Below are 27,757 nucleotides of genomic sequence, written 5' to 3'. Positions count from 1 at the left end.
AGCAAGAGTGCTGTCAGGAGAGGGACAGGGCTTGGGGCTTGTGTGCAGGAGAGGTAAGAGAAGGAGGGGCCCTGTGTTCTTGCCCCCAGGCTTTCCTCTCACCTCCTCCTGGTCCTCCCTGGAGGAAGAAGCAAGGTTTATCCCCTTCAAGTTAGATGTAGTGCACTGACTCCAAGGTTGCAGGCCTGCTGACCCCCAGCCCCTTGGTGCCTGCAGATGAGTTGACCGTGCCCCGATACCGCACAGAGAAGCCCTCCAAGTCGCCCCCACCGCCCCCTCCCCGCCGGAGCTTCCCCTCCTCCCATGGCCTGACCACCACACGTACCGGAGAGGTGGTGGTCACCAGCAAGAAGGACTCGGCCTTCATCAAGGTACCACTCCCACCTCAGACAGAGGGCCAGGGGACTGAGTTAGGATGAAGCCTCAGATGACTTCTGGAGGCCCTCTGGGGTGGGAAAGAGACCCCTTTCTCAGAGAACATGGAAGGAAAGAGGGAGTGGCCGGTGGCGACTTTGTCCTGCTAGTTTGGGATTCTAGGTATGTGTATTTGCCTTAATTCCATGCCAGGCCCCTGTCTGTTGAGGGACACCCTGGCAGGGGTGTAGCAGCAGAAGTAGCAGACGAGAAGCTGGGGTACATGGGCGATGGGGCCTGGGAGGTGAGCTGGTGCTGAAGTGGGGCAGAGCCTGGCCTTGACAGGAGTCCCGGGCCTTGCAGAAGGCTGAGTCCGAGGAGCTGGAGGTGCAGAAGCCCCAGGTGAAGCTGCGCCGGGCTGTGTCTGAGGTGGCCCGCCCAGCCTCCACACCACCCATCATGGCCTCGGCCATCAAGGACGAGGATGACGAGGATCGCATCATCGCAGAGCTAGAGGTAGGTCAGGGCACACCTGGCCCCCAAGGTCTCAGCCAGGCCCCCTTCCCTCCCAGGCTGCCCCCCAGGCCAGGTGACAGGATGAGGCAGAAGATGGGCTCTCGGGCTCCCTGCGGAGCGCTGGCTGTTCAGACCCCAGCCTTTTGCCTCCATTTCTTCTCCACTGTGAAATGAGGGGTGGGGGTCTAAAGTCTTCTCTCCTTGCAGGTTTGAGTTTTTTAACTATAGTCTCTGAGTCCCCCCAAGTATCCCCAGACCTCCTGCACTCTGAAAGTCCCGTATCCGAAGATTCTGAGATCACCGAGTTTGGAGATCCCCATCCCCCAGTGTTCTGAGATCAGCTCATGCTTGAGACCCCCATACTTGAGTATTCTGAGGACGGAGCTCTGAGACTCTCATACCCCATGCCTCGACTCTCCCAGCAGTGTCAGTCACCACACTCAAGCGTTCTCAGCCACCCCCAGCTCCAGTGCGGGAGACCTGGACTACCAGGGCTCTGAGGTGACCAGATGAGGGCAGAGAGGGCTGGCGGCTATGGCAAGGGACCAAGGGGTGAGGCTGGGGGCCGATGCCATCCCAGGCCACCCTCCCCAAGGGTGCCGGGGCCACAGGCCAGCACCCCCATCCTCCCTAGTGCCCCCTCCTCCAAACCTGCCCCCACCTTCTGCTCCCCAGGTGTTTGAGAGAAGCTCAGTGTCTTCCCTCCCCCCCACGCCCCGCCGCCAGCTGATCCCCACCTTGCTGTCCCCCCAGGACCTGGGGCCCCCCGGGGGCTCAGCCCCAGGCCCTACACGGAAGGTAACGGGGCTGCTGCCACTTCTCACAGCTCTCTCTCTGCCTGTGCCCCCACAGCTTCCTCTCCTCACCTCCCACGCTAACCCGCTAAAACGCCAGTCACCATCCCAAGTCCCACCATGGCCACAGCCACTGCCACAGCATTACATGTGGACTCACCCCTCCCCCACTCCAAGGACAGGCGCATAACCCTTCCTCCCCGCTGCTTGCTGGGGGGCTCCCTGAGACTCCAGCAGCCTGGGTGTCTGGTGGCCCCTTGTGTCTGCATTTTCTCACGGGCTTGCTGATGGAGGCCTGAGTATTTTGTTCTGGTTCGCAGTTTGAGCTTAGGTCTGGCCCGAAGGCTGAGTGTGGCCAAGATTGGAGTTTGGATCTTGCTCACAAGATGACTTTGGATCCAGCTCAAAATCTGACCTTGTCCTGAGCCCTTGCCTAGCCCCCACCTCCATCTTCGCTGCTCTGCTGCCTGTGCCGGGGAGGGGCTCTGTTTTTCCCCTAGAATCTATGCCTTGCGCTGGGGGCCAGGACACCACAGGGGTAGGCTCGTCTACAGCCTCACTAGCCCAAGGGCCTACGATGCCCTCTTGGACAGAGAGCCTGGAATGGAAGAAAGCTATGCCATTCCTTGGCTGCTGGTTCTTTTGGCATTGGGAAATTCTTCCTTCTCTCTAATGTCAGTCCTTGCTGCTGTCCTGCTGCACTTATTTCCTCTTTATTCTTTCCTGGGAATTTGGGGGTGAACCTGCTGTCTGCACCCTACCCCTGGGGACTGTGCTTGGGGAGGAGGGGAGGGGGAAGGTCTGGGAATCTCTCTCTCTCTGCCAGGTCAGGTTGAGGCAGGGGGGCTCCGCTCTGGAGAAGGAGAGCCTCCCGTGTGCACACACTCCCTATCTGGGGCTCCCTGGCCCACAGTGGGCTCTGTGCTGGTGGCCACCTGATTTCTGGCCTGGCTGGAGGCCTGTTGGCGCTTTGGTTTCCTGGCGGGGGAGGAGCAGAGGGGCATCAGATAGTGGACAGTGCCTTCTGCTGGGCAGAGGATGGGCACAGAGCAGTGCGAGGAACCTCTAGGATGAGCTGTATGGAAGGGGCGCCTCCTGGGCTGGCCATGCCCTTGGCACTTTGGCCCCTCCCATCCAAGCCCTGCCCCTTTCCGGCTCTGGGAGCCCATCCTGAGGGGCCCAGTGGACAAGGCCTTTTGCCCCTGGCCGACCCTCTGCATCCTGCGGCAGCATCGGGCAACGGAGCCGGGCGAGCGTGAGGTTGCCCTCTCTGCCTTCCCAGTCAGCACCCCCCACTTCCAGGTAAGCAGGTGGCAAGGCTGGGTGGGTTCCTTTGGGAGGGGGTGGTTGGGGGTCCCTGCTGCCCCCTCCCATCTCCCCACGGCTCCCTTTAGTGGAAGGAGCACTGGCCTTGGAGTCAGACTACCTGGGTTCAAATCCAGGCTCTGCCACTAACTAGCTGTGGGTGGGTGGCCTTGGGTGAAGTGTGTTACCTCCCTCGCCCTGGTGAGAGCAGCAGTCACTTCCCGGGTTAAGGTAGGCACTGAAGGTGAGGAAGGGTGTGACGGCACCTGGCACAAGCCTGGTGCTCAGAGTTAGACCAGGATTCACTCACATCGGGGAGTGGTACTTGGGGCTTCCCTCTGTGCCCTCACCGAGGCCAGGGCCAGGGATGCTGGCACCGGAGCAGGTGCCCAAGGGAGCTTTGCCCGAGTGTGTGTGCCACAGAGGATTTGTCAGGGGGCAAGCCCCACCCCTTCTAGCTGTGAAGCTCTTGGGGAGAGCACACAAAGTTGGGGTAGACCAGAAGTCTCTGGTTTGAGATGCCAGAGGCTGACATGTTGTCTCTGCCCACATGGGGCCAAAGGTCTCGGCCATTCCATTCATTTCAACAAATAGCTAATATTTATGAAGCACTCACAACATGCCCAGCGAGCTCACTTCATCCTCCACCGGCCCCACCTTGGTGTCGAGTCATTGCACAGATGGGCACGCTCATGGGAACAACCCTGAGCCCGGCTCCCAGAGGCTCACATGGGTGGTGTAAAGTAAATGTGTGCCTGCCCTGGCCAAACCGGCACCTTTACTGGCAAGTAGGAGGCCACAGGGTATGGTGGGAAAGACCTGAATTCTGGTCCCAATTTTGCCTCCAACTTACTGGGTAGCCTCTGTCAGGACCCTCCCTGCCTCAGTTTTCCCATCTGTAAAAGAAAGGGGCTAGGCTCACCTAACTGTAACACCCATTTTAGCTTGGGGTTTGGTTGTAGGAATCACACTCTTCCTCATCTTCCTTCTCCCGGCAGGCTGCCCCAGGTCCCAGGGCCTTCTGCGTCCCAAGGATCATCTTGACAGAGTGTGCCCCCAACCCTCCCTCCCCGCCAGAGGCCAGACTTGAGGAACTGGGACCCAGGACAGCTCCCACCCCAAGACCTCAGACCCTGGCTGACAGCACGAGGGGCTGGGATGGCCCACAGTCCCCACCAGGGGTAGTGGGGGAGACTTCTGGGCCGAGGAGCAGCTTCATGCCCCGGAAGGAGGGGGCAGCTCTGAAGAGACTGGGTGGAGGAGGCAGCAGCCTAGAGGATGGAGGAGCCAGAGTACAGTGTCCTCAGGGACCAGCCCAGGATGGGACTCCAGAGACCTCTACTGCTGACACCTACCCAGAGGAGATCCTCAAGGACTCTGGACATGATGCCCAAACCTGCAGTAGGGAGCATCAGGGCCAGGCTGCTGCCAACTCAGGCCGCACCACGTGGGGCGCCACTGCCCAGCAGATGGACAGCTTGGAGGAGACGCTCCGGGAGCTGGAAGCCACCCTGAGCAACATGGGCACAGGCCCTGCCATGGGGTCCCCTGGCAGCCCCCCACCCCTACCCCTCCGCCCCCAGGTGGCTGCCCGCTTTTCATCCTCCTCTGCTGCCTTCCTCCTCCATTTCCAGAGTCAGACAGAGTAGGGGGCAGCAGAAATGCCAGGCCAGCCCCCTCCTCCCACCGGCCTTCTCTCAGCTCTTACCACTCTCCTGGGAGCCTGGTGCCAGAGCAGGGTTTGCAGGCAGAGTCCGGGGGAGGCTGGGAAGCCGGCCTACCCAGGGGCCGGCCAATCCCCAGCCTTGGCAAGAACCAGGGCCTCCCCCTTCTGCTCTGTATCTGTAAACCAACAAATAAAGTTCTCTCCCCACCTTCCATCCCCATGCTCCCCTCCCCTTCCTGTCTCTGATTCTCTGTCTCTGTCATCTCTCTGCTTGCGCCTCTGGATCCCCAGTGCCCCGCGGGCAGGCCTGGTACTTGGGGAGGTTCATGGGAGCCAAGCTTGCCCATCCCTAGGGAGACCTCACCTGCATCCTCCCCTTAGGAGGAGGATGTGGGCCTGGGGCTGCCCCTCTGCTCTGTGTGCCATTATAGAGAGCCCCTTGCTGGCATGTGCACCCAGGTCCAGATGGTGCCCCTTGCCGGGAGTGGGGTTGCTGCTGGGGACCCTCACTTTAGCAGAGGCTCCCCAAGGAGGGCATCAGCTGCCCCTGAGCTACTCAAGGAAGCCACCGAAGAGCTCTCCCTCAAGAGCCGTTGGGAAACTGGCTTGGGCCCCACCCCTCTCCTGCAGGGAGACCATAAGTGGGGACTGAGAGGGTGGACCTGGGTTCTGGACTCGGGTGTGGAGCTAGAGAGGGGTCTCCAGGTCTCAAAGGGCCCCACTGAGGAGGTCCCAGCCCCGAGACCCCACCCAGTGCTAGGGTTCCTGTGTGATTCACCCCATGTGGACTCTGCAACTGCAACCCTGTTCCTCTTCCTGCAGAGTGGCGGAGGCAGTGTACCACCCATGAAGGTGGTGACTCCGGGGGCCTCTCGGCTGAAGGCGGCCCAGGGCCAGGCGGGCAGCCCCGACAAAAGCAAACATGGCAAGCAGAGGGCCGAGTACATGCGGATCCAGGCCCAGCAGCAGGTGAGGGCGGGGACTGTGGGGGCCACCCAGGCCCACTCTGCTGCATGCCGGGCCCCTGCCCCACTGGGCATCTCCTGCCCCTGCTCCCGTGACCAGCTTTCCCAACCTCTTCCCAGACAGACCTTCCCTGCCAGGACTGCCCCACCCACCCCCTGAACCGTCTTCTCCCTCCTCCTCCCGATCCCGGAGCTTTGGATCTAGATTAGCACATGAGTTCTCAACCAGGCACCTCCCCTCTCAGGAGTTCCCTCACTCAGACACAGAGAAGACTCTCCAGCTGCCACTGCTGGCTCCTGGAGGAGGGGCGAGCGAGCGAGTTTGTGACTCCAGCAGCCCCAACGCCTGGGTCCCTTCTCAGGCCTGGCCTACCCTGGGGTGCAGAAGGGGGATTTTGTGGCCCTCTGCTTCCTGCCACTCTGTTTCTCTCTCCGCTTCCCTCTCCCTCTTCCCAGGGCTCCGCCTGCTATTCAGGGCCCCACTCTCATCCTGGTCTCCCTCTTAGCTCTTAGGCCACCCCTAGCCAAGGGAGAAGCCAACTTTGCATCTGCTTTTCAGCCTTGTGTTTGGGTTTCAGTGGGGTCACCTCCCGTCTTTGCAAGGTTGGGTGGGGACAGGGCGAGGCACTTTGGCCCTCAGGAAGGGTAGGGGTGCAGCAGGAATTGCAGGGATGCCGCAATCTCTTTCAGGTCTAATGAGCAGGCGCGGAGGCTGTGTGGAGAGTGGACATACCTCACCTGTGGGTGTTTACTGCCCTTGTGGCCTGGTCAGAGGCTGCAGGGTGGCTCCTGGACCCAGATGTTGTGAGAGACCCTTAGTGCACTCGTTTGATTTAGTTAATATTTATGAGCAGCTCCTGTATGACAGGCCCATTCTGGGTGTGAGGGTGGGGGCTGTGATATGTCCAGATGCTCTCACTTAAAGAAGGTTCTAGACTCAGAGGCAAGACGTTAGAGAAGGTTCTAGACTCAGAGGCAAGAGGTTAGAGATGGGTGAGTCCATCTCTTTTTCAGATGAGGGGGCAGCTCAGAGGAGGAGAGGGGCTTCCCAAAGGTGCACAGCAAGGTGGCATCACAGCCAGGATCGGGACCTAGGAATCTTGGAACCCTTCCCTGCACTGGCCCTGGGACAGCCCTGGGCACCCAAGGCCCTGCCTCCCTACTGGCTCCCAGGAGAATTTCTCAAAAAGCAGCCCTCCAGCCCCCCGCAGCCTCTCCACAGCTCCCACCTGCCTCCTCATGGCCCCCAGACACCCTGCGAGCCCCACCTCCAGATCTTTTTCCTGCCACTGCCAGGGATGAGTTCCCCTTGTCCTGTCCGGGCTGGACCCTCCTGGGTGCCCAGCAGAGCAGCTGACACTGACAGAGCTTTCGCTGGGGCCAGGCATGCGCATTATCTCATCTCACACTCACCACACTGAGGAAGGTCTATTACCCCCATGTGACGGGGGCGGAAACTGAGGCTTAATCCAAGGCCACACGGCTAGCAAGTGGGGGGCAGGACACAAGTCCAGACTGCCTCCCTCCCCACCACAAAGTGCTTCAGCCTCTCCAGCAGCCCCTTCCCTCAGCTCTAATGATGTTGCACTGTTTCCCACCCTAGTCCCTCCCTCCCCAGAGCCCAGCTCCTCCGCTGTGGTGTCAGCCTCATGCCTTTATGGCCCAGCCTCCACCCCATCTCCGGGGTTGCCTGGGTCTCCAGTGACATCGAGATGGGCTCTTTTCACCCCCCTCCCCCACTGCTCTGCAGCATGTGGCCTTGTAGACCCCCCCCACACCTGCATAGGGCTGTGCAGACCCTCTGTTCCTCAGCATCCTCTCCCCAGCCTCCACCTGGAGCCTCTGGGCTCCTTTCTGGGTGACTCCCTCTATTTTTTGAGACGGAGTCTTGCTCTGTCTCCCAGGCTGGAGTCCAGTGGTGTGATCTCAGCTCACTGCAGCCTCCGCCTCCTGGGTTCAAGTGATTCTCGTGCCTCAGCCTCCCGAGCAGCTGAGACTACAGGCTAATTACCACACTGGCTAATTTTTGTATTTTTAGTAGAGACGGGGTTTCACCATGTTGGCCAGGCTGGTCTCAAACTCCTGAGCTCAGGTGATCCTCCCACCTCAGCCTCCCAAAGTGCTGGGATTACAGGCGTGAGCCATTGCACCCTGCCTGGGCGACTCTCCTTTGCCTGCCTCTTCCCTTCCTGTGCCCCACTCCTCAGCCTCTTCTCCTCACACCATGCCTTCCTCTCCTCAGGCACCAGGTGCACTGCTTAGTCCCTGCCCCCACCCAGGTCTCCATTCTGAGCTCCAGTCACCCACACACGCTTCCCCGGGCATCCCCAGGCTCCTCGAATGCGTGTGTCCAGACATAATGCTCCCCCGACCACGCTGCCCCAGCCGGTACGAGGCTGCCCCAGCTGCTGTCTCCCTCAGGAAGGGTCGCCCACCCCCAGCCTTCCCAAGCCCCTCCGTGCCCCTGTCTCACTTCCAGTGCTCCAGTAGCCTTTCTTATAAACATGGCTTCTTTCTTGTAAAGTAATAAATGTTTACAGTGGAAATTTTATTTTATTTTATTTTATTTTATTTTATTTTATTTTTTTGAGGCAGGGTCTCACACTGTCACCCGGGCTGGAGTGCAATGGTGCGATCCCAGCTCACTGCAACCTCTGCCTCCTGGGTTCAAGGGATTCTCCTGTCTCAGCCTCCCGAGTAGCTGGGATTACAGGCGCCCACCACCAAGCCTGGCTAAATTTTTGCATTTTTAGTAGAGATGGGGTTTCACCATATTGGCCAGACTGGTCTTGAACTCCTGACCTCGTGATCCACCCGCCTCAGCCTTCCAAACTGCTGGGATTACAGGTGTGAGCCACCGCCACCAGCCTCCCTGTGGAAATTTTCAACAGTAAAGTATAGAGAAGCAGGGGAAAACCATCGATGTCTCACTACCAACATGCACGGTCTTCTAAGATCTCCTTGTGACTTCTGTCACCTCTAACTGATTTCCCAAGACCTGGGGGTGGGGAGGGAACTTTGTAAAATGCAGATTTGATTGTCTCTGTGTGTGTCACACACACACACACACACACACACACACACACCCCTGCCAGCTTAAAATCCCTGCCCCGGCCCCTGGCAGATGATCAACCCAAATCCTTCATGTGCGGCCCAGGGCCCTTCACAGCAGCCTCAGCTCACCCTGCCCCTGCACCCACACCCTCGGTGTGCTCCAGCCATGCGGGTCACTGGTGGGACACGATCCACACTAGCTCAGCCTGTGGCCTTGGTCAAAGCCCTCTGTCTTCTCAGGCCCTTTCTTCGTCTGTACAATGGGGACAGAAGTATCCAGCCTGGTCCTGAGCTCACATAATGCCAGGTACAGGAGAGAGCTTGGAACACCACAGTGAGCTCTACGGTGGCCGGCGGGGGTGGGGATTGGGGGGGCGGTGCCCAAGGCCTCTCCTTCATCCAGTGAGTCCAAGCTGTCTTTGATAATGTTGAGATGGAGGGGACTAGAAGTGCTGGGATCAGGGACACAGAAATTGGGAGTAAGAAAGTTCTAAGATGGAGGTGCCTTGCAGCAGTGCCTGACCCCACAGAGTAGTCAGAGGAAGTGACTGAGGAGAAGCCCGTGAATGTTGTGCTTAAGATCCCAGGGAGGGACGGGAGCCAGGTTCCCAGGCGTGCAAGGATCAAGGCTTTGTGTAGACCTGAAGCTATGGACACCCCCTCTTCTATTAGGGCTAAGAAATTTGCTGAACAACTGCTTATCTTCTCAGATGGCTGAAATGAAGATACTTTTTTTTTTTTTTTTTTTTTTTGAGATGGAGTCTCGCTCTGTTGCTCAGGTTGGAGTCCAGTGGCGTGATCTCGGCTCACGGCAACCTCTGCCTCCCGGGTTCAAGCGATTCTCCTGCTTCAGCCTCCTGAGTAGCTGGGATTACAGGTGTGTGTCAACACGCCCGGCTAATTTTTGTATTTTCAGTAGAGGTGGGGTTTCACCATGTTGACCAGGCTGGTCTTGAACTCCTGACCTCAAGTGATCCGCCTGCCTCAGCCTCCCAAAGTGCTGGGAGCCATTGCGTCCGGCCCCAGATGAAGAGACTTTAATGAAAGGACGACACCAGAGGATTGAGGGAGAAAACAAGGGATGCCGAGGTACCCATGGACATCTCAGAGCAGGAGGCTGTGACTCCCTGGGGGAAGGGCAGTGGGGCAGGTGTTTAGCGAGTCCCGGAGGGCGGGAGCAGCAGAGCTGTGCTGTGGAGGGCACAGCTGCTGCCTGTGACACAGCTCCCAGGAGGGAGAGAGCAGGGAAGGAACTTCACCCCACCTACCTCTCTCTCACCCTGCCACAGACCCCACTGGCCAAACCCAACCAGAGTCCAGTCAGCAAAGGAGTGACCAGGATCAGCCTCTCAGGGTACAGAGCACGGCAGAAATTAGTTCTGGGAGGCCAGGGGCAGTGGCTCACGCCTGTAATCCCCACTTTGGGAGGCTAAGACAGGAGGATCACTCGAGGCCAGGAGTTCGAGACCAGCCTGGGCAACATACGTGAGCCCCCCCATAATTGGTTCCGGGGTATGGAGAGGCAAGTGAAAGACAGATAGCATACCTGTTAGGTACCAAGTTTACAACTTTATACCTTAAAGTAAATCTGTGTTGTCACAGCTGCATCCCCACAGCACCTAGAATAGTGCTTGGCATACGTAGGCACTCAGTAAATATTTGTTGAGTGAATGAGCGAATGAGTTTGCCACCAATCAGGCCCAATCCAGGTGGAAACAGCCAAAGCAAATCTGAAAGGTTAAAATGACAATCGCTATAATGGCTACCATTTGTTGCATGTGTACTGAGGGTGTTGGGCGCCGGGTCTTACACCCTGTTGGCATCATCTCGTCATGTGCATCTGGTGCTGTGGGGCCTGTTATCCGTTTGCAGGTGAGGACATGAAGGCACAGAGAGATATGCGATTAGGGTCACACGGTTAAAAAGTGGCAGAGCTGGGACTTAAACCCGAGTGTGCCTGCTACAAATTCTGCTGTCTTAGTGCTGGATTCTGTTGCCCTGCCAGGGAGCATAACCTCGTGGGTGTGAGCAAGCCTCGATGAGATCGCGCTTGTGACGAGAATTCTAGAAGGTGATACGTTAACAAAAAATGAAGGTCGAATAGATCAATAAAGCAACACTGGGCCTCACGTGTATCAGTGAGAATGCTTTCAGCTGCAAGGAACAGGAACCCTGATTCAAAATGGATAAACAATAAGGAAAGGTATCCTGTAACCAAGAAGGCTGGAAGCAGGGGGATTCCAGGGTTGGTGAATTTAGCAGCTTGAGGATATCAGGACCCAAGTTTCTTTGCATTTGGTCCCGCTGTCATTTTTATTATTTTATTATTATTATTATTATTTTTTTTTTTTTTTTTGAGACGGAGTCTCACTCTGTCACCCAGGCTGGAGTGCAGTGGCGCAACTTTGGCTCACTGCAACCTCCGCCTCCTGGGTTCAAGTGATTCTCCTGCCTCAGCCTCCCTAGTAGCTGGGATTACAGGTGCCCACAACCACGCCTGGCTAATTTTTGTATTTTCAGTAGAGACAGGGTTTCACCATGTTGGTCAGGCTGGTCTCGAACTCCTGACCTCGTGATTCGCCCACCTCAGCCTCCCAGTGCTGGGATTACAGGTGTGAGCCACCACACCCGGCCTATTTTATTTTTATTTTTATTTATTTATTTATTTATTTTGAGATGGACCCTCGCTCTGTCACCCAGGCTGGAGTGCAGTGGCACAATCTCAGGTCACTGCAACCTCTGCCTCCTGGGTTCAAGCAGTTCTCCTGCCTCAGCCTCCCGAGTAGCTGGGATTACAGGTGCCTGCCACTGCCCCCAGCTAATTTTTGTATTTTTAGTAAAGATGGGGTTTCACCATGTTGGCCAGGCTGGCCTTGAACTCCCGACCTTGTGATCCACCCACCTCAGCCTCCCAAAGTGCTGGGATTACAGGTGTGAACCACCGTGACTGGCCTTATTTTTTTTTCTTTCTTTTTTTTTTTTGACACGGAGTCTAGCTCTGTTGCCCAGGCTGGAGTGCAGTGGTGCGATCTCTGCTCACTGCAAGCTCTGCCTCCTGGGTTCACGCCATTCTCCTGCCTCACCCTCCTGATTAGCTGGGATTACAGGTGCCCGCCACCACGCCTGGCTCATTTTTCGTATTTTTAGTAGAGACAGGGTTTCACCCTGTTAGCCAGGATGGTCTCGATCTCCTGACCTCATGATCCGCCCGCCTCGGCCTCCCAAAGTGCTGGGATTACAGGCATGAGCCACAGAGCCCAGTCTTATTATTATTATTTTTGAGATAGGGTCTTACTCTGTCACCCAGGCAGTGGCATGATCTCTGCTCCCTGCAGCCTCAACCTCTCCAAGCTCAATCCATCCTCCCGCCTCAGCCTTCCAAGTAGCTGGACTGCAGGTGGCGCCATCAAGCCTCACTAATTTTTTGTATTTTTGATAGAGATGGGGTTTTGTCACATTGCCCAGGCTGGTCTCAAACTCCTGACCTCAGGTGATCCACCCACCTAAGCTTCCCAAAGTGCTGGGATTACAGGCATGAGCCACCAAGCCCGGCTTCACACAGCTGTTTTTATTTATTTATTTAATTTTTTTTTGAGATAGAGTCTCTCGCTCTGTCACCCAGGCTGGAGTGCAGTGGTGCGATCTCGGCTCACTGCAACCTCCACCTCCCTGATTCAAGCGATCTTCCTGCCTCAGCCTCCCAGGTAGCTGGGACTACAGGTGCACGCCACCACGCCTGGTTAATTTTTGTAATTTTTGGTAGAGTTGGCGTTTCACTGTGTTGGCCAGGCTGGTCTCAAACTCCTGGCCTCAAGTGATCTGACTGCCTAGGCCTCCCAAAGTGCTGGGATTACAGGCATGAGCCCGGCCTCACACAGCTGTTTTTAGAAGCTGGAGAATCTTTCCCAGAAGCCTCCAACAGACCACACCTCTTATCTCACTGCCCATTCCTAAATCAGTCACTGGCAAGGAGAAAGGAATTTCTCCAATTGCCATAGATTTTGTCATGATCCCCACATCCCCCACTCTGGGCTGGGGAAAGCCCAGCTTCTCCTGATGGTTCAATACCTGACCCAGGCAGGGCTTAGCAAGGAAGGAGGGCATGGGGGCTAGGGAGGGTGGCCCTGGGAATGGCCCTGGAGGTGGAGTCAGCGGGGTCTGTAGAGTCGAGAGGTTCCACACTTGTCTGGACATCTGGGCGTCAGAATGTGAAGGGCCTCGGGAACATGGACCTGGCGAGAGCAGGTGGCCGGCTCTGATCCCCAGGCAAGAGGGAGGTGTGCAGGGTGGTGCCCTCTGGGACCAGCTCAGTGCTCCATGCCTCCCCCAGCTGAAAGCTGGACATGTGTGAGGTTTCTGCCTTGCCACGAAGGTAACAAAGTTCTGCTTCTCTGGACATAATTGGAATCAGCAGGGGAGGATGATGGGTGAAAGGAAATGACAGGAACCTTCAGAGACAGCAGCTGTGTCACCTGAGAAGGGTTAGCAGCACAGGCTGGGGTCACCGGGCACAGCTGGACGTGCTCCCTCAACTTCAGGAGAGTGGATTGTGGATGGTGTGTCCAGAGTCTCCCGGGAGGGAAGATGACCCGAGAGGATTTTAGAAAGCACATGTTGCAGAAGTGGTCTCCATGAAGAAGCGGGACGGGGACGAGGCATCCCCATAAACTGGTGAAGCTGGATGTCTAAAGGTCTTGCACTGGCTGTTGGGGGGAGAAGGGGTACCTCAACTGGGTGAAGGCACATCACCTGCCTGAATACAGAAGCCAGGTGGTGGTGCCGGAAGACAAGTGTTCCCAAGACCAAAACTTGGAATAGAATGAGGCTCTTGAAAAATGCTGAAGGGGTAGGAGCAGAAAAAGCAGCTTTTACCTAGAAAGATCAGTTCAGAGGGAAAAGGACAACCGGGGAGAATCAGCACCTTGCCGGGGGACATGGTGAGGTGTGAAGAGACATCAGGGGGAACTGGGCAGTGCTTCCCTCTCACCTGGCTTTGGGGGAAAGAACTTTAAATGGGAAAGGCTAGAGCAGAGGAGAGGCAGGACTGAGCCCAAGGTAAGTGACACAGTGGTCAGAGAGCCTCTGGTTCCCGTTGGATGAGTTTGTCTCCAGGCCCAGGTACTGGGGGCACAGAGAGGGCAGGGGCCATGCCTGACACATGCTGAGGACTGCGTGAATCTGACGACCCTGTGGCTGGGCCCTGGACCCCCTAGAACTCCCTTGAGTAATGGATGAGCAGAGGAGAGGGGTTAGAAAACCCAAACAGGGCCAGGCGCGGTGGTTCACGCCTGTAATCCCAACACTTTGGGAGGCCGAGGTGGGCAGATCACCTGAGGTGGGGAGTTTGAGACCAACCTGACCAACGTGGAGAAACCTCGTCTTACTAAAAACACAAAATTAGCCGGGCGTGGTGGCGCATGCCTGTAATTCCAGCTACTCGGGAGGCTGAGGCAGGAGAATCGCTTGAACCCGGGAGGCGGAGGTTGCCGTGAGCCAAGATTGCGCCATTGTACTCCAGCCTGGACAACAAGAGCAAAAGTCCATCTCAAAAAAAAAAAAAAAAGAAAGAAAAAGAAAACCCAAATGGGGAATTTTCGCTTTAACTTAAATAAATAAATAACAAAACAAACAAACAAACAAAAAAACAGGGCCTCATTCTGTCACCCAGGCTGGAGTGCAGTGGTGCAGTCATGGCTCACTGCCACTTCCACCTCCTGAGCTCAGGCCATTCTCCCACCTCAGCCTCCAGAGAAGCTGGAACCACAGGCACACACCATCACACTCAGCTATTTAAAAAAAATTTTTTTTTTAGTAGAGACGAGGTCTCGCCATGTTACCCAGGCTGGTCTTGACTTCCTGGGCTCAAGCAATCCTGCCTCAGCCTCCTGAAGTGCTGGGATTACAGGTGTGAGCCACCACACCCGGCCCTTGTTTTGATTCTCATAAAAGGGAAATGTAGATGGCAAACTACACTGTAGTGAGCAAAACCCAGGTGAATCGTGGAACCAACCATCTGTGCACCTGTAAAGGAGAAATGGTGATTGCAGCCAGCGCTGGTTCTTTACTGTGAGCTGGGCAGGCTGCTGGAGACAGGGCTTGCTTTAGACTCTAGCTTCTCCTCTGCAAGGCATCTGAGAAAACTCCGTAGCAGCAGGGTGATAGTAGAGGGAAGTGAACGACCCTGCCCAGACCTAACCTCAGGGTGGTCTCTGGTGACTCGCCACAGCGCCCTGTCTTATCTTTTGGATCTTTTTTTAAATCTGGGTGATTCAGTTCTCACACTAGTAGCTAAGCAAGGCCAGGAGGGACAGTGGGTACAATTACAAGGAGAAACCTGGGTCTGTGTAGCCTTAATCCAGTGGATCTCAAAGGTAAGTGTGCAGCAGAGGCACCTGGGGCACCTGCTTAAAATGCACATTCATGAGCCCACACAAGAGATGGATTCTGGAGGGGAGCCCAGGAATCTGCATTCACGATGCATGCCAGAGGGTGGCCCCTGGAGGTGATGAGGTAATGCACGTAGCTCTCAAACCGCACTTTGGAGACCGCAGCTGCAGAGGAAAAGCCTCCAGGACCGGTGGAGTTGCGGGAGTCCACCGAAGGTGGGAGGAGGATGAGGGGTCAGTTCTGACCACTAGAACTGACCAGTGAGGGCAGGACAAGTCATGAGGGAGTAGCCTCCTGTTACCAACTGGGGCGACAAGTGCTTGCAGGGCATGCAGTGGGGCCTCCTGCACTGGGCGGGAGGCTGGTGCGGCAGCGCCTTCTTCTCAGATTTCCAGGTGGTGGTGGTGGTGGTGGTGGACGGGGTCTTTGAAGTGTTTATTCCCCCCTGGGAGGATAAGCCCCCTCCTCTGTTGCCACCAGGATGAAGCTGGAAGGGGCTCTGGCTGTACAGCGGGCCATTTGGGACTAGGAGCCTTTCCCCACCCTGACCCCCGTCCCCCGCAGGGCTTGTGCCCCTGTCCCAGCTAATGTTTCACTTCTTCCTCCCCTCCCCTGCCCTCCCCCACCCCCACCTCCCCATCTGCCCATCCTGGGCGCGGCCTCTTCTGTGCTTCTCTGGTCGCTCTGCTTCTCTCTCTGCTCTCAGTAACTATGGGCCTGCCCTCTGACCACCCAGGCCCTTTGTCCAACCTCGTGCCCCCTCCCCCCCCTTTTCTGCCCCCACCCCTCCACCATTCAAGGGACCCCTCTCTCCAGATGCCCCTCTGGCTTCTTCCTTTTGCAGTTAATTTCCTTGGATTTGTGGAGGTTTTCCACTTTTAAAACTTCAGCTGGGGGCCAGCATGGAGGCGCTCCCTTCCGCTCTCTGACCCCTGACCCCTGTTTTTGTTCCAGGCCACTAAACCATCTAAAGAGATGAGCGGGTCGAATGAGACCTCGAGCCCAGTCTCAGAAAAGCCCTCGGCTTCCAGAACCTCTATCCCTGTATTGACTTCCTTTGGGGCAAGGAATTCTTCCATCTCCTTCTAGAAGCCCCTCACCCCGCTGCCCCGCCTGTCCCCCTCCCTCACTCCTGCCATTTCTCCCCTCTCTTCCTTCATCTCCACCCCACCCCACCCTACTCTCCAGACGCCCTGAGGGGTGTGCCCTGAAGAGGAGGGTGCGGCCCTCCTCAGCGACCCCTACCCATCATCTGTTGGTGTTTTTGGTTTTGTTTTTTTTTTTTTTTTTAACAATTAACTTTTAATTATCTTTTTTTAAACAGTAAAACTAAAAACCAAACACACCACCTTCCTTGATCCCAGCTGGCCTCTCGCTGGCCGCACCTGTCACATCTCTCCTTCTTCTCTTTCACCACTCTTTCCCCCAGTCCATCCTGAAGCTCCTGCACCCCCTTCCCGCCTTCCCCTCACTTCCCAAGAATACTCCAAACAAACTCTGAACCACGGAGACTTGGAGCAGTGGGAGACCCCTCTCCCGTTTCTCGATACCTTCCTGGAGGAACGCGGGGACATCGGACCAACCCATACATCAAGCCAGAGAGCGGGGCTTAGGGAGACTGGCCTTGGAGATGCCCCACTCCCTGTCTAAGCTCCGACAAGACTGTGACTTCCTCTGTGGCTGCTCTGCCTCCTCCCACTCACACCCAAGTGGGCCTGGAGTAGAGACGGACAGGCTGGAGACGAGGCCGGAGTTTGAGAGGCCTCAGGGTGGGTGTGAGGCCATGGAGTCTGTATCCCTGGGGAGGCGCTGGCCTCCTGGGCCTTGCCGTCCAGTGGGGAGTGGAGGGCAGAGGCCCTTTGGTCTGCTGGCTGTGGAGGGTGGGTTGCACGGACAGCCGGATATCGGGGACACTGCCTTGGGAGAGGGCGGCCCGGACGGGTATTTGGTACTTTTAGTTTCCTGATTTAGCACTTTAAATGGCATTAACTTATTGAATGGGGATGGGGTGGGCAAGAGTGAGGGGCCTAGAAAACCAGGTTTTGTGGCTTGCAGTTGGGGGAAGGGTCTGGTTTGAGGGAAATGGGAGGGTCGAGAGGGGCTTGACGGGGAGCACTGAAGACACCTGGGACCCGCAGGTGGGGTGACTTGAACTTCAGTCATCCTCTTGGCAATTTGAGGGTTTTCCCAGGAAAGGATGAGACGTAGTTTTTCAATGGGGCTCTGGTGACCCTGGTGAGATGTCTGAAGGTCCCTGAGGCCTGACCATCCAGCCAGCGCCCCTGGCCTGTGGACGCCCTGCCTGCCCTGCAGAGGCGGTTGGCAGTGCCGCCTGGCTTTTGGCCGGGTCCTGGGGAGGCAGAGAGAGGCCAATTTTGGTTCTCACTCCTGGCCCCCCAGAGGGCACAGTGAGGAGCCGGTAGGGAGAGGATAGGAGAAGAGGAGGAGGAGGAGCGGGGTCCCCGGCCGCAGGATTCCCACTTGGAGCACAAAGTGAAGTAAGCACAGGGGAGGGGGACTAGAATCAGTCCCCCATAGCAAGCACAGAAAGGAGGAGCTGCGCAGAAGGCAGAGCCCCCCAGACCCTGGGGCCTGGCTGGGGAAGGTCCGCACCTGGGGAGAGCTGGGAGCTGTTGAAGGTTTGGGGGGAGGGGAAACGGGTTGTGTTTCTTCATTTCTTTTTTTGTTTTTGCCTTTGTTGGTTCATCCTTGTTTTCTAGCTTTGGATCATTTTTGTACCAAGGCGAGCAAGCCTTTTTGAAAAATAACAAAAGAGGAAAAAAAAAATCCCTCCTGGAAAAAAAAAAAAACCCTGGAAAATAGAAAAAAAAAAAAGGACCTCATAAATGATGCAATTACTTTTAATTGCAGGCAACTCTTTACATTTAAGTGAAGTGTCTTAACATTTTATATTGTTTTAAAAATATATTTACATATTATATATATAATATACGTAATATAAATATATATAAATATTTAAAAAAGAAAAAAAAAAGAAAACCACGGCACTCTCCCTGGCCACTGTTTTGGCGGGGGAGGGGGGCTGGGGGGCGGGCACGTCGGCCTGGCTTCTGTGGTCCCAGTGAAATGGTCTGGTTTGATTTGGCTGTACAGAGACCCCCTGACTTGGGAGGGGAGGGGGGAGTGGTGCCCCCTCCTCCCTCCACTCCATTACTCTCTGCTTGCTACTTCGCTTGCCCCCAGCTCCCACCCTCAGCCCTGTGACTGGAATGTGTGCCCCACCGTCATTGTCCTGAGTTGAATGTCCCTTTGTGGGGGAGGTGGGGGGGGCAGTGTCCATCCACGAAGGGGCAGAAGGAGGGAGCCACGTGCCCCGCCCCACCCGCTCGGGTGAAGCCCAGTGGGATTTGCATCTTTCTTTCTCTTTGGTTCCTGCACATTTATGGGCTGGGAGGCATCCGTGTGGAATTGCGTGCAGCCTGTGTGTGTGCTGGCACAAGCCCATGCACTGTGTGTGCAGACGCATGGGGCCTGCACCCACAGGCATGGCCGAGCACATGTGTGGGGGAAGGCGTGGGCACATAGGTGCATGTAACCTGTTTGGGCATTGGCACGTGCCTACCTGCATGTTAGCGTGAGAGGAGCTTTGTGTGTGAGAACATGTGTAATGTGTGTGCAGACATGCCGAGAGCCAGAGACTTGTGTGTGGGCCACGTACATGTGGATAGAGACGCATACATGGAGGTGCATGTAATCTGTGTCTCCGAGTGTGTGTGTGCAGGTATGTGTGCTGGTGCAGACCCAAGTGTGTGGGTGTGCCTCTGTGTGCGTGTGTTCCATCATCCCTGCACCACTGGCTCCAGATCCCTTCCTGAGCCCCCGTCCCCGCTGGCCCTCTCACAGCCTGCAGCACATCAGTGCCCCCAGCTGCATGCGCCTCGCTGCTCTGTCCATCAGTGTGTGCTTGACCAAGAGAAAACTAAGACGTCTCGGGGGACCCCTGTACCTGGTCCTCTCAGCCCCCGCCCACTGTGCTGTGTTACTCGCATGGGGGATTTCCTGCCCCTTCCACAATATGCTGTTTCCCCAGGAGCCTCAGGCCTGAGGCTCTGAGTGGGGTCCCCAGGGGGCCCCCCGGGGTGAGCCCCGGCTCCACACCCTGCCCCATCCACCCTGTAGGGCCCATGTTGGTGTAGCAGTGATGGCTTCTGTGGATATTCTGTGACCTCTGTCGGTGTAACTTGACAATTTCTAAATGGAAAAGGGTTGCTGTGTTTTCTCTGTCTCTCTTTTTTAATGTCCTTTTTTCTTCTCCCCCGCTCCCTGCTCTCTTTCCTTTTCAGTTTTTCTAGCCAAGTGTTTGGGGCTTTAATAAAACTTGTTTCTTTTTCCTCTCCTGGATCTCCTTCCTATAGGCTGATGTCTCATTATTTCTCTGCTTCACCCTGGAGGATCTGGAAGGTGCTGGGATGGGTGGGGTGGCAGGTGGGGAATCCCTGGCAGCCACTGGCCTTCAGCTGGCAGAGCATGAGGGGGAGGACAGAACAGGGCCCCTGGGATTAGCCAGGTGGGGTGGTGTACACCAGTAATCCCAGCTACTCGGGTGGCTGAGGCATGAGAATCGCTTGAACCCAGGAGGTGGAGGTTGCAGTGAGCCAAGATCGCACCACTGCGCTCCAGCCTGGATGACAGAGCGAGAACCTGTCTCAAAAAACAAAAACAAAACAAAAAAAACCAGTTCTCAGCTTGGCATTCCAGGAGGTGTCCTGCCTAACCCTCACAACCATCGGTGAGGTAGCTACCGGCACTACCTACTCAGGCAAGTGACAAAACTCAGAGATGTTGGGCATCTTACCCAGAGTCATACAACTGGTAGGTTGTAGACAAACCAGTAAGTTTGAATCCAGCTCTGCCTGACACCAAAGCCCACGGTTACCCTGAAACCAAGCAGGGCTGATGACCTCCAGTAGTCCCCTGAATTGGGTCTCAGCCTCCTGCCCTTTGAGTGAGATGACCCTTGGTGGGGGTCCACCCATCTTTTCTTTCTTTTCTTTTTTTTAGACGGGGTCTCCCTCTGTCACCCAGGCTGGAGTGCATGATTACAGCTCACTATAGCCTCAACTTCCCTGGGCTCAGGTAATTGTCCCATCTCAGCCTCCCAAGTAGCTGGGACTACAGGTGCCTGCCACCACACCTGGCTACATTTTTTTGTATTTTTTGTAGAGATGAGGTTTCGCCATGTTGCCCAGGCTGGTCTCGAACTCCTGAGCTCAAGTGATCTGCCCACCTCGGCCTTCCAAAGTGCTGGGATTACAGGCGTGAACCACCGAGCCCGGCCACAAACATCTTTTCTAGATGCAGCAGCTTTCAAACCCGTAAAGTGGTAACAATACAAAATGCATTTGACACCTCTATGCTTTAGGTATGTACACACATATGCACAAACAGCCACAGCAAAGCAGCACCTGCTACACAGAGCACCATGGTGTATGCCATGGGTCCTGATTGGGTTTTACAGGCTTTCCCGGAATTCTGAAGGCTGTGCCACTGTTCCAGCATGTTCTAAGAGTCCCCGAGGCAGCCTTCCAGCTGTTCTGCGTGGCTGAGGGCTGGCATGTTACTGAATCTCTTCTCCCCCCTCAGCATCACTTCACTTCCATCCCTGAAGGTAGTGACTGTGTCCTGGAGCCACAATCTTCCAGTCATCACAGGGGCCCCAGTTGCGCTTCCTTCTCTTAAAGACCTCTTTGGAGACAGAGGGCAGCAACCTGCCTACTGTCTGCAGGGAATGCCCCTCCATGAGTCACCCACCCACCAAAGCCCAGCAACCCTTGAGACTCACAGAAAGCCAGTCCTCAGCCTGCCCGTAGCCCATCCCTATGTCCTTTTTAGAATGTCGGCAGATCTTGCCTTCTCTCTGCCATCCTATTCCCCAAAAACTGGGAGAGGAGCCAAAAAACCCCCTCTCCCAGAATCACTGCACTCATGACAGTTCAAGATCAAGTAACAAACGGAACCATCCGCTGCACGCCTGGAAGGAGGCAGGCACTCATTCACCCGCCAGATGCCTATCCAGGATGCACTCCCTGTGAGGCGCTGCTCGTCCACTCCTTGGGGCTGGGGCTCTGTCTGGCGGGAGAGCTGCCAGGACAGCCAGCAGACAGAACACAGACACCCGAGCTCAACCAAGGCAGGTGCTGGGAGAACACAAAAAAGAGGCACAGTGGCAGATGTGGCGGGGAGTAGCAGGGTCAGTCACATTTGAGAGGAGACCTTGTGGGTGGGTGAGGAGTGGGCTTTGGGGGCGCTGGTGGCTGAGGGTCCCAGGCACAAGGCCCTGGGTGGGACGTAACCAGTGGGTTCTGGAAAATGAAGGAAATCCAAGAAGAGTGAGGAGGGGAAAGTGCAGCGTGGTGGGCAGAAGCCCCCTCATGTGAGGCCTTATGGGCTGTGGTAAGGAAGGTGCCATGGAAAACAATAGGAGGGTTTAAAGTAAGAAAGTGTCATGAACTGACATGTTGTTTCAGAAGTTGTCTCAGAGTGGGCTGGACGTGGTGGCTCACGCCTGTAATCCCAGCACTTAGGGAGGCTGAGGCGGGCAGATTACAAGGTCAGGAGTTCGAGACCAGCCTGGCCAACATGGTGAAACCCGGTCTCTACTAAAAATACAAAAATTAGCTGGGTGTGGTGGCAGGCACCTGTAATCCCAGCTACTGGGGAGGCTGAGGCAGGAGAATCACTTGAACCCGGGAGGCAGAGGTTGCAGTGAGCCAAGATCATGGCATTGCACTCCAGCCTGGGCGACAAGAATGAGACTCTGTCTCAAAAAAAAAAAAAAAAAAAAAGTTAATCAGAGTGGCATGCACCTGCGGTTCCAGCTACTGGGGAGGCTGAGGTGGGAGGATTGCTTGAGGCCAGGAGTTTGAAGTTTCAGTGAGCTATGATGGCATCACTGCACTCCAGTGTGGGTGACCGAGGGACACCCTGTCTCAAATACAATACTGCCTACTGTCTGCAGGGAATGCCCCTCCGTGAGTCACCCACCCACCAAAGCCCAGCAACCCTTGAGATTACAGAAAGCCAGTCCCCAGCCCTGTCTCAAAAATGAAAAATAGGCCTGGCGCGGTGGCTCATGCCTGTAATCCCAGCACTTTGGGAGGCAGAAGCGGGCAGATCACGAGGTCAGGAGATCGAGACCATCCTGGCTAACACAGTGAAACCCTGTCTCTACTGAAAATACAAAAAAATTAGCCGGGCGTGGTGGCGGGCGCCTGTAGTTCCAGCTACTCGGGAGGCTGAGGCAGGAGAATGGCATGAACCCGGGAGGCGGAGCTTGCAGTGAGCCGAGATCGCGCCACTGCACTCCAGCCTGGGTGACAGAGTGAGACTCCGTCTCAAAAGAAAAAAAAAAAAGAAAAACCGGAACTTATCCCTCCCAATAGCCATGCTTTATTAATGTTTTATAATACTAATTGCTACCATTTATGGAGAGTTCGTTAATCTTCTAACAACCCAGACAATAGATATTATTACCTCTGTGCTATCAGTGGGGAAGGTTGACTCTGGCCAAGATTTGAGCGCGATCTGACTGCCTTCAGAGCTCAGGTTCCTGATGGAGAGGAGGCAGGCGCTACTTGACGTGTAGTGGTCGGGGAAGCCCTCGGCTTCTCTCCTTCACTGTCTGCACATCCTCTCTTGGCCCCCCTGGGCATTTTCTGACTGTTTGATCATTGAGTGGCTTAAGTGGTCCCTGAGCTCAGAGTGACAGAGCACGATCCACAGGATGGGGGCCTGGGGCTAGTGGCATCTGTGCCCCTTAACTGAGAACAGGCTTCCTCGAAGCTCACTGGTGCTGACTGGCTGATACCACTCATAATGGCACACCTGGCAGGGGGATCCCTCCATCCCCTCCCCTTTGTCATCGTTCCAGAAATCTTCACTCAAAATCTCAGCCTGTGTTTTAGTTCAGGGTGACAATCATGCTGCCTCTCCATGTCCATACTAGAAGGGCAGGGAAAAATCTCTATTCCTTTCACCTAAGCCCTCATAGATTTGGAGTTTTCCCAAAGAAATGTTTCCTGCCGGGCGCAGTGGCTCACGCCTGTAATCCCAGCACTTTGGGAGGCCGAGGCAGGTGGATCACGAGGTCAGGGGTTCGAGACCAGCCTGACCAACATGGTGAAACCCCGTCTCTACTAAAAATACAAAAATTAGCTGGGCGTGGTGGCGGGCGCCTGTAATCCCAGCTACTCAGGAGGCTGAGGCAAGAGAATTGCTTGAACCCGGGAGGCGGAGGTTGCAGTGAGCCGAGATTGCACCACTGCACTCCAGCCTGGGTGACAGAGCAAGACTCTGTCTAAAAAAAAGAAAAAAAAAAAAGTTTCCTATGAAATATATCAAACCCCACTGGAAGCCAGGCACAGTGGCTCATGCCTGTAATCCCAGCACTTTGGGAGGCCAAGGCGGGCGGATCACGAGGTCAAGAGATCGAGACCATCCTGGCCAACATGGTGAAACCCCGTCTCTACTACAAATACAAAAAATTAGCTGGGTGTGGTGGCGCATGCCTGTAGTACCGGCTACTCGGGAGGCTGAGGCAGGAGAATCGCTTGAAACTGGAAGGCGGAGGTTGCAGTGAGCTGAGATCACGCCACTGCACTCCAGTCTGGGCAACAAAAACGAAACTCCATCTCCAAAAAAAAAAACCCCCACTGGATAGGCAGAGCAAGTTTTACTGTATTTTATTTATCCTATTTTATTTTTTTGAGACAAGGTCTTGCTCTGTCACCCACACTGGAGTGCAGTGGCGCCATCATAACACACTGCAACCTCAAACTCCTGGGCACAAGGGATCCTCTGGCCTCAGCCTCCTGAGTAGCTGGGACTACAGGTGCAAGTCACAACCCCTGGCTAATTTTTCAATTTTTGCAGAGACAGAGTTACCAAGGCTTATTTTGAACTGCTAGACTCAAGTGATCCTCCTGCCTTAGTCTCCCAGAGTGTTGGGATTACAGGCGTGAGCCAGCAAGCCTGGCCTAGAGCAAGTTTTAGAGTACAGTTTGTTATTGTTTGTATGGCTGCTTTTTTTTTCTTTTCTTTTTTTTTTTTTTTTTTTTTACAGAGTCTCACTCTGTTGCCCAGGCTGGAGTGCAGTGGCACAATCTCAGCTCACTGCAACCTCCGCCTCCTGGATTCAAGCGATTTTCCCGCCTTAGCCTCCTGAGTAACTGGGACTAGAGGCAGGTACCACCACGCCCAGCTAATTTTTGTATTTTTAGTAGAGACGAGGTTTCACCATGTGGGCCAGGCTGGTCTTAAACTCCTGACCTCAAGTGATTTGCCCAACTCAGCCTCCCAAAGTGCTGGGATTACAGGCACGAGCTACCACGACCGACCTGTTATGGCTTTTTTAAATTATTTATTTATTTATTTATTTATTTATTTGTTCAAGACAGGGTCTTGTTCTGTCACCAGGGTTAGAATGCAGTAGTACTATCTCGGCTCACTGCAGCCTCGACCTCCTGGATTCAAGCAGACCTCCCACTTCAGCCTCCAGAGTAGCTAGGACTACAGGTATGTGCAACCATGCCTGGTCAATTTTAGTTTTTTGTACAGCCCAGGTCTCAGTATATTGCCCAGGCTGGTCTCAAACTACTGGGCTCAAGTGATCCTCCCACTTCCACCTTCCAAAGTGCTGGGATTACAGACGTGAGTCACCATGCTTGGCCTGTTACACGGCTTTATTGAGATTTATTTCACATACCACAAAATGCACCCTTTTAAAGTCTACAGTTCAGTGATTTTTAGTATATTCACAGATATGTGTGACCATCACCACAATCGAACTTTAGATTATTTCAACTCCCCGAACCCTGACCACTTGACAGTCATTCCCCATTCCTGCACCCTCCTCTCTGCCACCTACCTCCTCACCCCGACCCACAGCCCTAGGGAATTAGTAATTTACTTTCTATCTGTATGGATTTCCCATTGCAGACACTTCCCACAAATGGAGTTATACAACATGTCGTCTTTTGTGACAATCTTCTTTCTACATGTTTCCAAAATTCATCTATGTTGTAGCATGTATCAGTACTGATGCAGGGCAGACAAGCCCCCAAATTGGGGTTTAGCAGAGGAGGATTCTTGGTTTTGTCCGGGAAATAATTCAAGGGTGAGCCGGTGGTGTTAGACAGCAGCTTTTATTGAAGCGACAGTGCACAGCAGCAGAGGTGCTGTTCCTTGTGGAGCGGGGCTACCCCACAGGCCTTGTGCTCAGAGTAGCAGCTCAGAGGTGGGTCTGCACTCATAGTTATACCCACTTTTAATTGTATGCAAATTAAGGGGTAGATTGTGCAGAAATTTGTAGGAAAATTTTGGTAACTTTTGGGTCATTGGGTCGTTGCCATGGAAAGGGGTGGTAATTTCTGGCTGTTGCCGTGGCAATGGTAAACTGAAATGCTGCACTGGTAGGTGTGTCTTATGGAGACCTGCTTCCACTCCATCTTTGTTTTAGCTAGTTCTCAATTTGGTCCAGTGTCCAAGAACTGACTCTGGAGTCGAGTCCCACCTCCTACCTCAGTATTTCATTCTTTTTTTTTTCTTTTTTTCTTTTTTTTTTTTTTTGAGACAGAGTCTCTCTCTGATGCCTAGGCTGGAGTGCAATGGCATGATCTCGGCTCACTGCAACCTCTGCCTCCCAGGCTCAAGCGAGTCTCCTATCTCACCCTCCCGACTGCAAGTCGGGACTTGTAGCTGGGACTACAAGTGTGTGCCAGCATGCCCGGCTAACTTTTGTATTTTTAGTGGAGAAGGGGTTTCACCATGTTGGTCAGGCTGGTCTTGAACTTTTGACCTCAAGTGATCCACCCACTTTGGCCTTCCAAAGTGCTGGGATTACAGGCATGAGTCACCGCGCCCAGACTGAATAATTTTCTCTTGTATGGATATATCATATTTTACTTATCCATTCATCAGTTGATGGATATTTAGGTTGTCAGTACATGAACATTTGTGTACAAGTTTTTTTTTGTGTGTTGACATATGTTTCAGCTCTCTTGAGTATATCCTAAGGAATAGAATTGCTGGGTTTTACAATAACTCTAGGTTTAACATTTTGAGGAGCTGCCAAACTGTTTTCCAAAGTGGCTGCCCCACCAGCCATGTAATAAGCATTCTAATTTCTCCACATTCAACACTTGTTATTGTCTGTTTTTTTACTGCAGCCACCCTAATGTGTATGAAGAGGTAGCTTATGGTTTTGATTTGTATTCCCATGATGACTACTGATGTTGAAAATCTTGGCCGGGAGCGGTGGCTTATGCCTGTAATCCCAGCACTTTGGGAGGCTGAGGCAGGCGGATCACGAGGTCAGGAGATCGAGACCATCCTGGCTAACAGTGAAACCCCATCTCTACCAAAAATACAAAAAAATTAGCCGAGCATGGTGGCGGGCGCCTGTAGTCCCAGCTACTCGGGAGGCTGAGGCAGGAGAATGGCGTGAACCCGGGAGGCGGAGCTTGCGGTGAACCACTGCACTCCAGCCTGGGTAACAGAGCGAGACTCCATCTCAAAAAAAAAAAAAAGAAAATATTTTCAAGTATATAATAGCTATTGGCATATCTTCTTTGGATAAATGTCTTCAGATCCTTTGCTTATTTTTATCCAAATTGGGTTGTCTTTTTATTGTTGAATTTTATTGTTCTTTATATATTCTAGATATGAGTCCCTTGTCAAATATATGATTTGCAAATGTTTTCTCCCACCGGGTGTGGTGGTGCATGCCTATAATCCCAGCTCAGGAGGATCACTTGAGCCCAGGAGGTCGAGGTTATGGTGAGCCATGATCATACTGCTGCATTCCAACTGGAGCCACAGAGTGAGTCCCTGTCTCAGGAAAAAACACACACACACACACACACACTTTTTTTCTTCCATCCAATGATTGGTTGTCTTTTCACTTTCCTAATAGTATCCTTTGACACACACAGTTTTTAATTTTTATGAAGTCCAATCTATCAATTTTTTTTCTTTTATAGCTTGTGCTTTTGGTGTCGCAGCTAGAAGATCCTCACACCTCAGCCTCCCAAGTAGCTGGGACTACAGGCATACACCACCATACCTCGCTAATTAAAAATTTTTTTTTGCCTGCGCATGGTGGCTCATGCCTATAATCCTAGCACTTTGGGAGGCTGAGGTGGGCAGACCACTTGAGGTCAGGAGTTTGAGACCAGCCTGGCCAACATGGTGAAACCCCGTCTCTACTAAAAATATAAAAATTAGCAAGGCGTGGTGGTGGGCGCCTGTAATCCCAGCTACTTGGGAGGCTGGGGCAGGAGAATCACTCTAGCCCAGGAGGTGAAGGTTGCAAGGAACTGAGATCGTGCCACTGCACTCCAGCCTAGGCAACAGGGTGAGACTCCATCTCAAAAAAGAAAAAAAAAAAGAGAAAAACATTTTTTTGGTAGAAAGGGGGTCCTGCTATATTGCCCAGAGTGGTCTTGAACTCGGCGTCTGAAAGCGCTGAGATTACAGGACCTGCCACCACACCCGGCTAATTTTTGTATTTTTAGTAGAGATGGGGTTTCACCATGTTGGCCAGGCTGGTCTCGAACTCCCGGGCTCAAGGGATCCACCTACCTCAGCCTCCCAAAGTGCTGGGATTACAGGCGTGAGCCACCGGCCTGGCCTCTTCTCACATTCTTGATGATGTCTCGTGACATACAGAAGTTTTAGATTTTTCTGTTTTTTCTTCC

At 54.2% G+C, this 27,757-nt stretch overlaps 1 protein-coding gene across 8 annotated transcripts in view; it reads left to right on the top strand.

Annotated features, from left to right (window-relative positions):
• SRCIN1 (SRC kinase signaling inhibitor 1) overlaps nucleotides 1-19,396 on the top strand; it is a 76,995-nt gene extending 57,599 nt beyond the window's left edge. For 3 of the 8 annotated variants that reach the window (NM_025248.3, XM_017025172.2, XM_017025171.2), the window contains 4 exons: nucleotides 217-371; nucleotides 718-870; nucleotides 5,458-5,604; nucleotides 15,996-19,396. In NM_025248.3, the coding sequence (NP_079524.2) occupies nucleotides 217-371; nucleotides 718-870; nucleotides 5,458-5,604; nucleotides 15,996-16,130 (590 nt within the window). In that variant the 3' untranslated portion in view covers nucleotides 16,131-19,396. Of the gene's footprint in view, nucleotides 1-216; nucleotides 372-717; nucleotides 871-1,545; nucleotides 1,669-2,894; nucleotides 2,967-3,967; nucleotides 4,553-5,457; nucleotides 5,605-6,290; nucleotides 8,147-15,995 lie in introns of those variants that run through there. The other 5 variants (XM_047436852.1, XM_047436851.1, XM_017025169.2 and 2 more) reach the window with 4 other exon arrangements.
• Nucleotides 19,397-27,757: the final 8,361 nt, after the last annotated feature.

This window comes from Homo sapiens, chromosome 17, assembly GCF_000001405.40.
Source record: "Homo sapiens chromosome 17, GRCh38.p14 Primary Assembly".
NCBI lineage: Eukaryota > Metazoa > Chordata > Mammalia > Primates > Hominidae > Homo > Homo sapiens.
The sequence above is the reverse complement of the archived record's forward strand: the minus strand, read 5'-3'. Positions and strand labels throughout refer to the sequence as shown.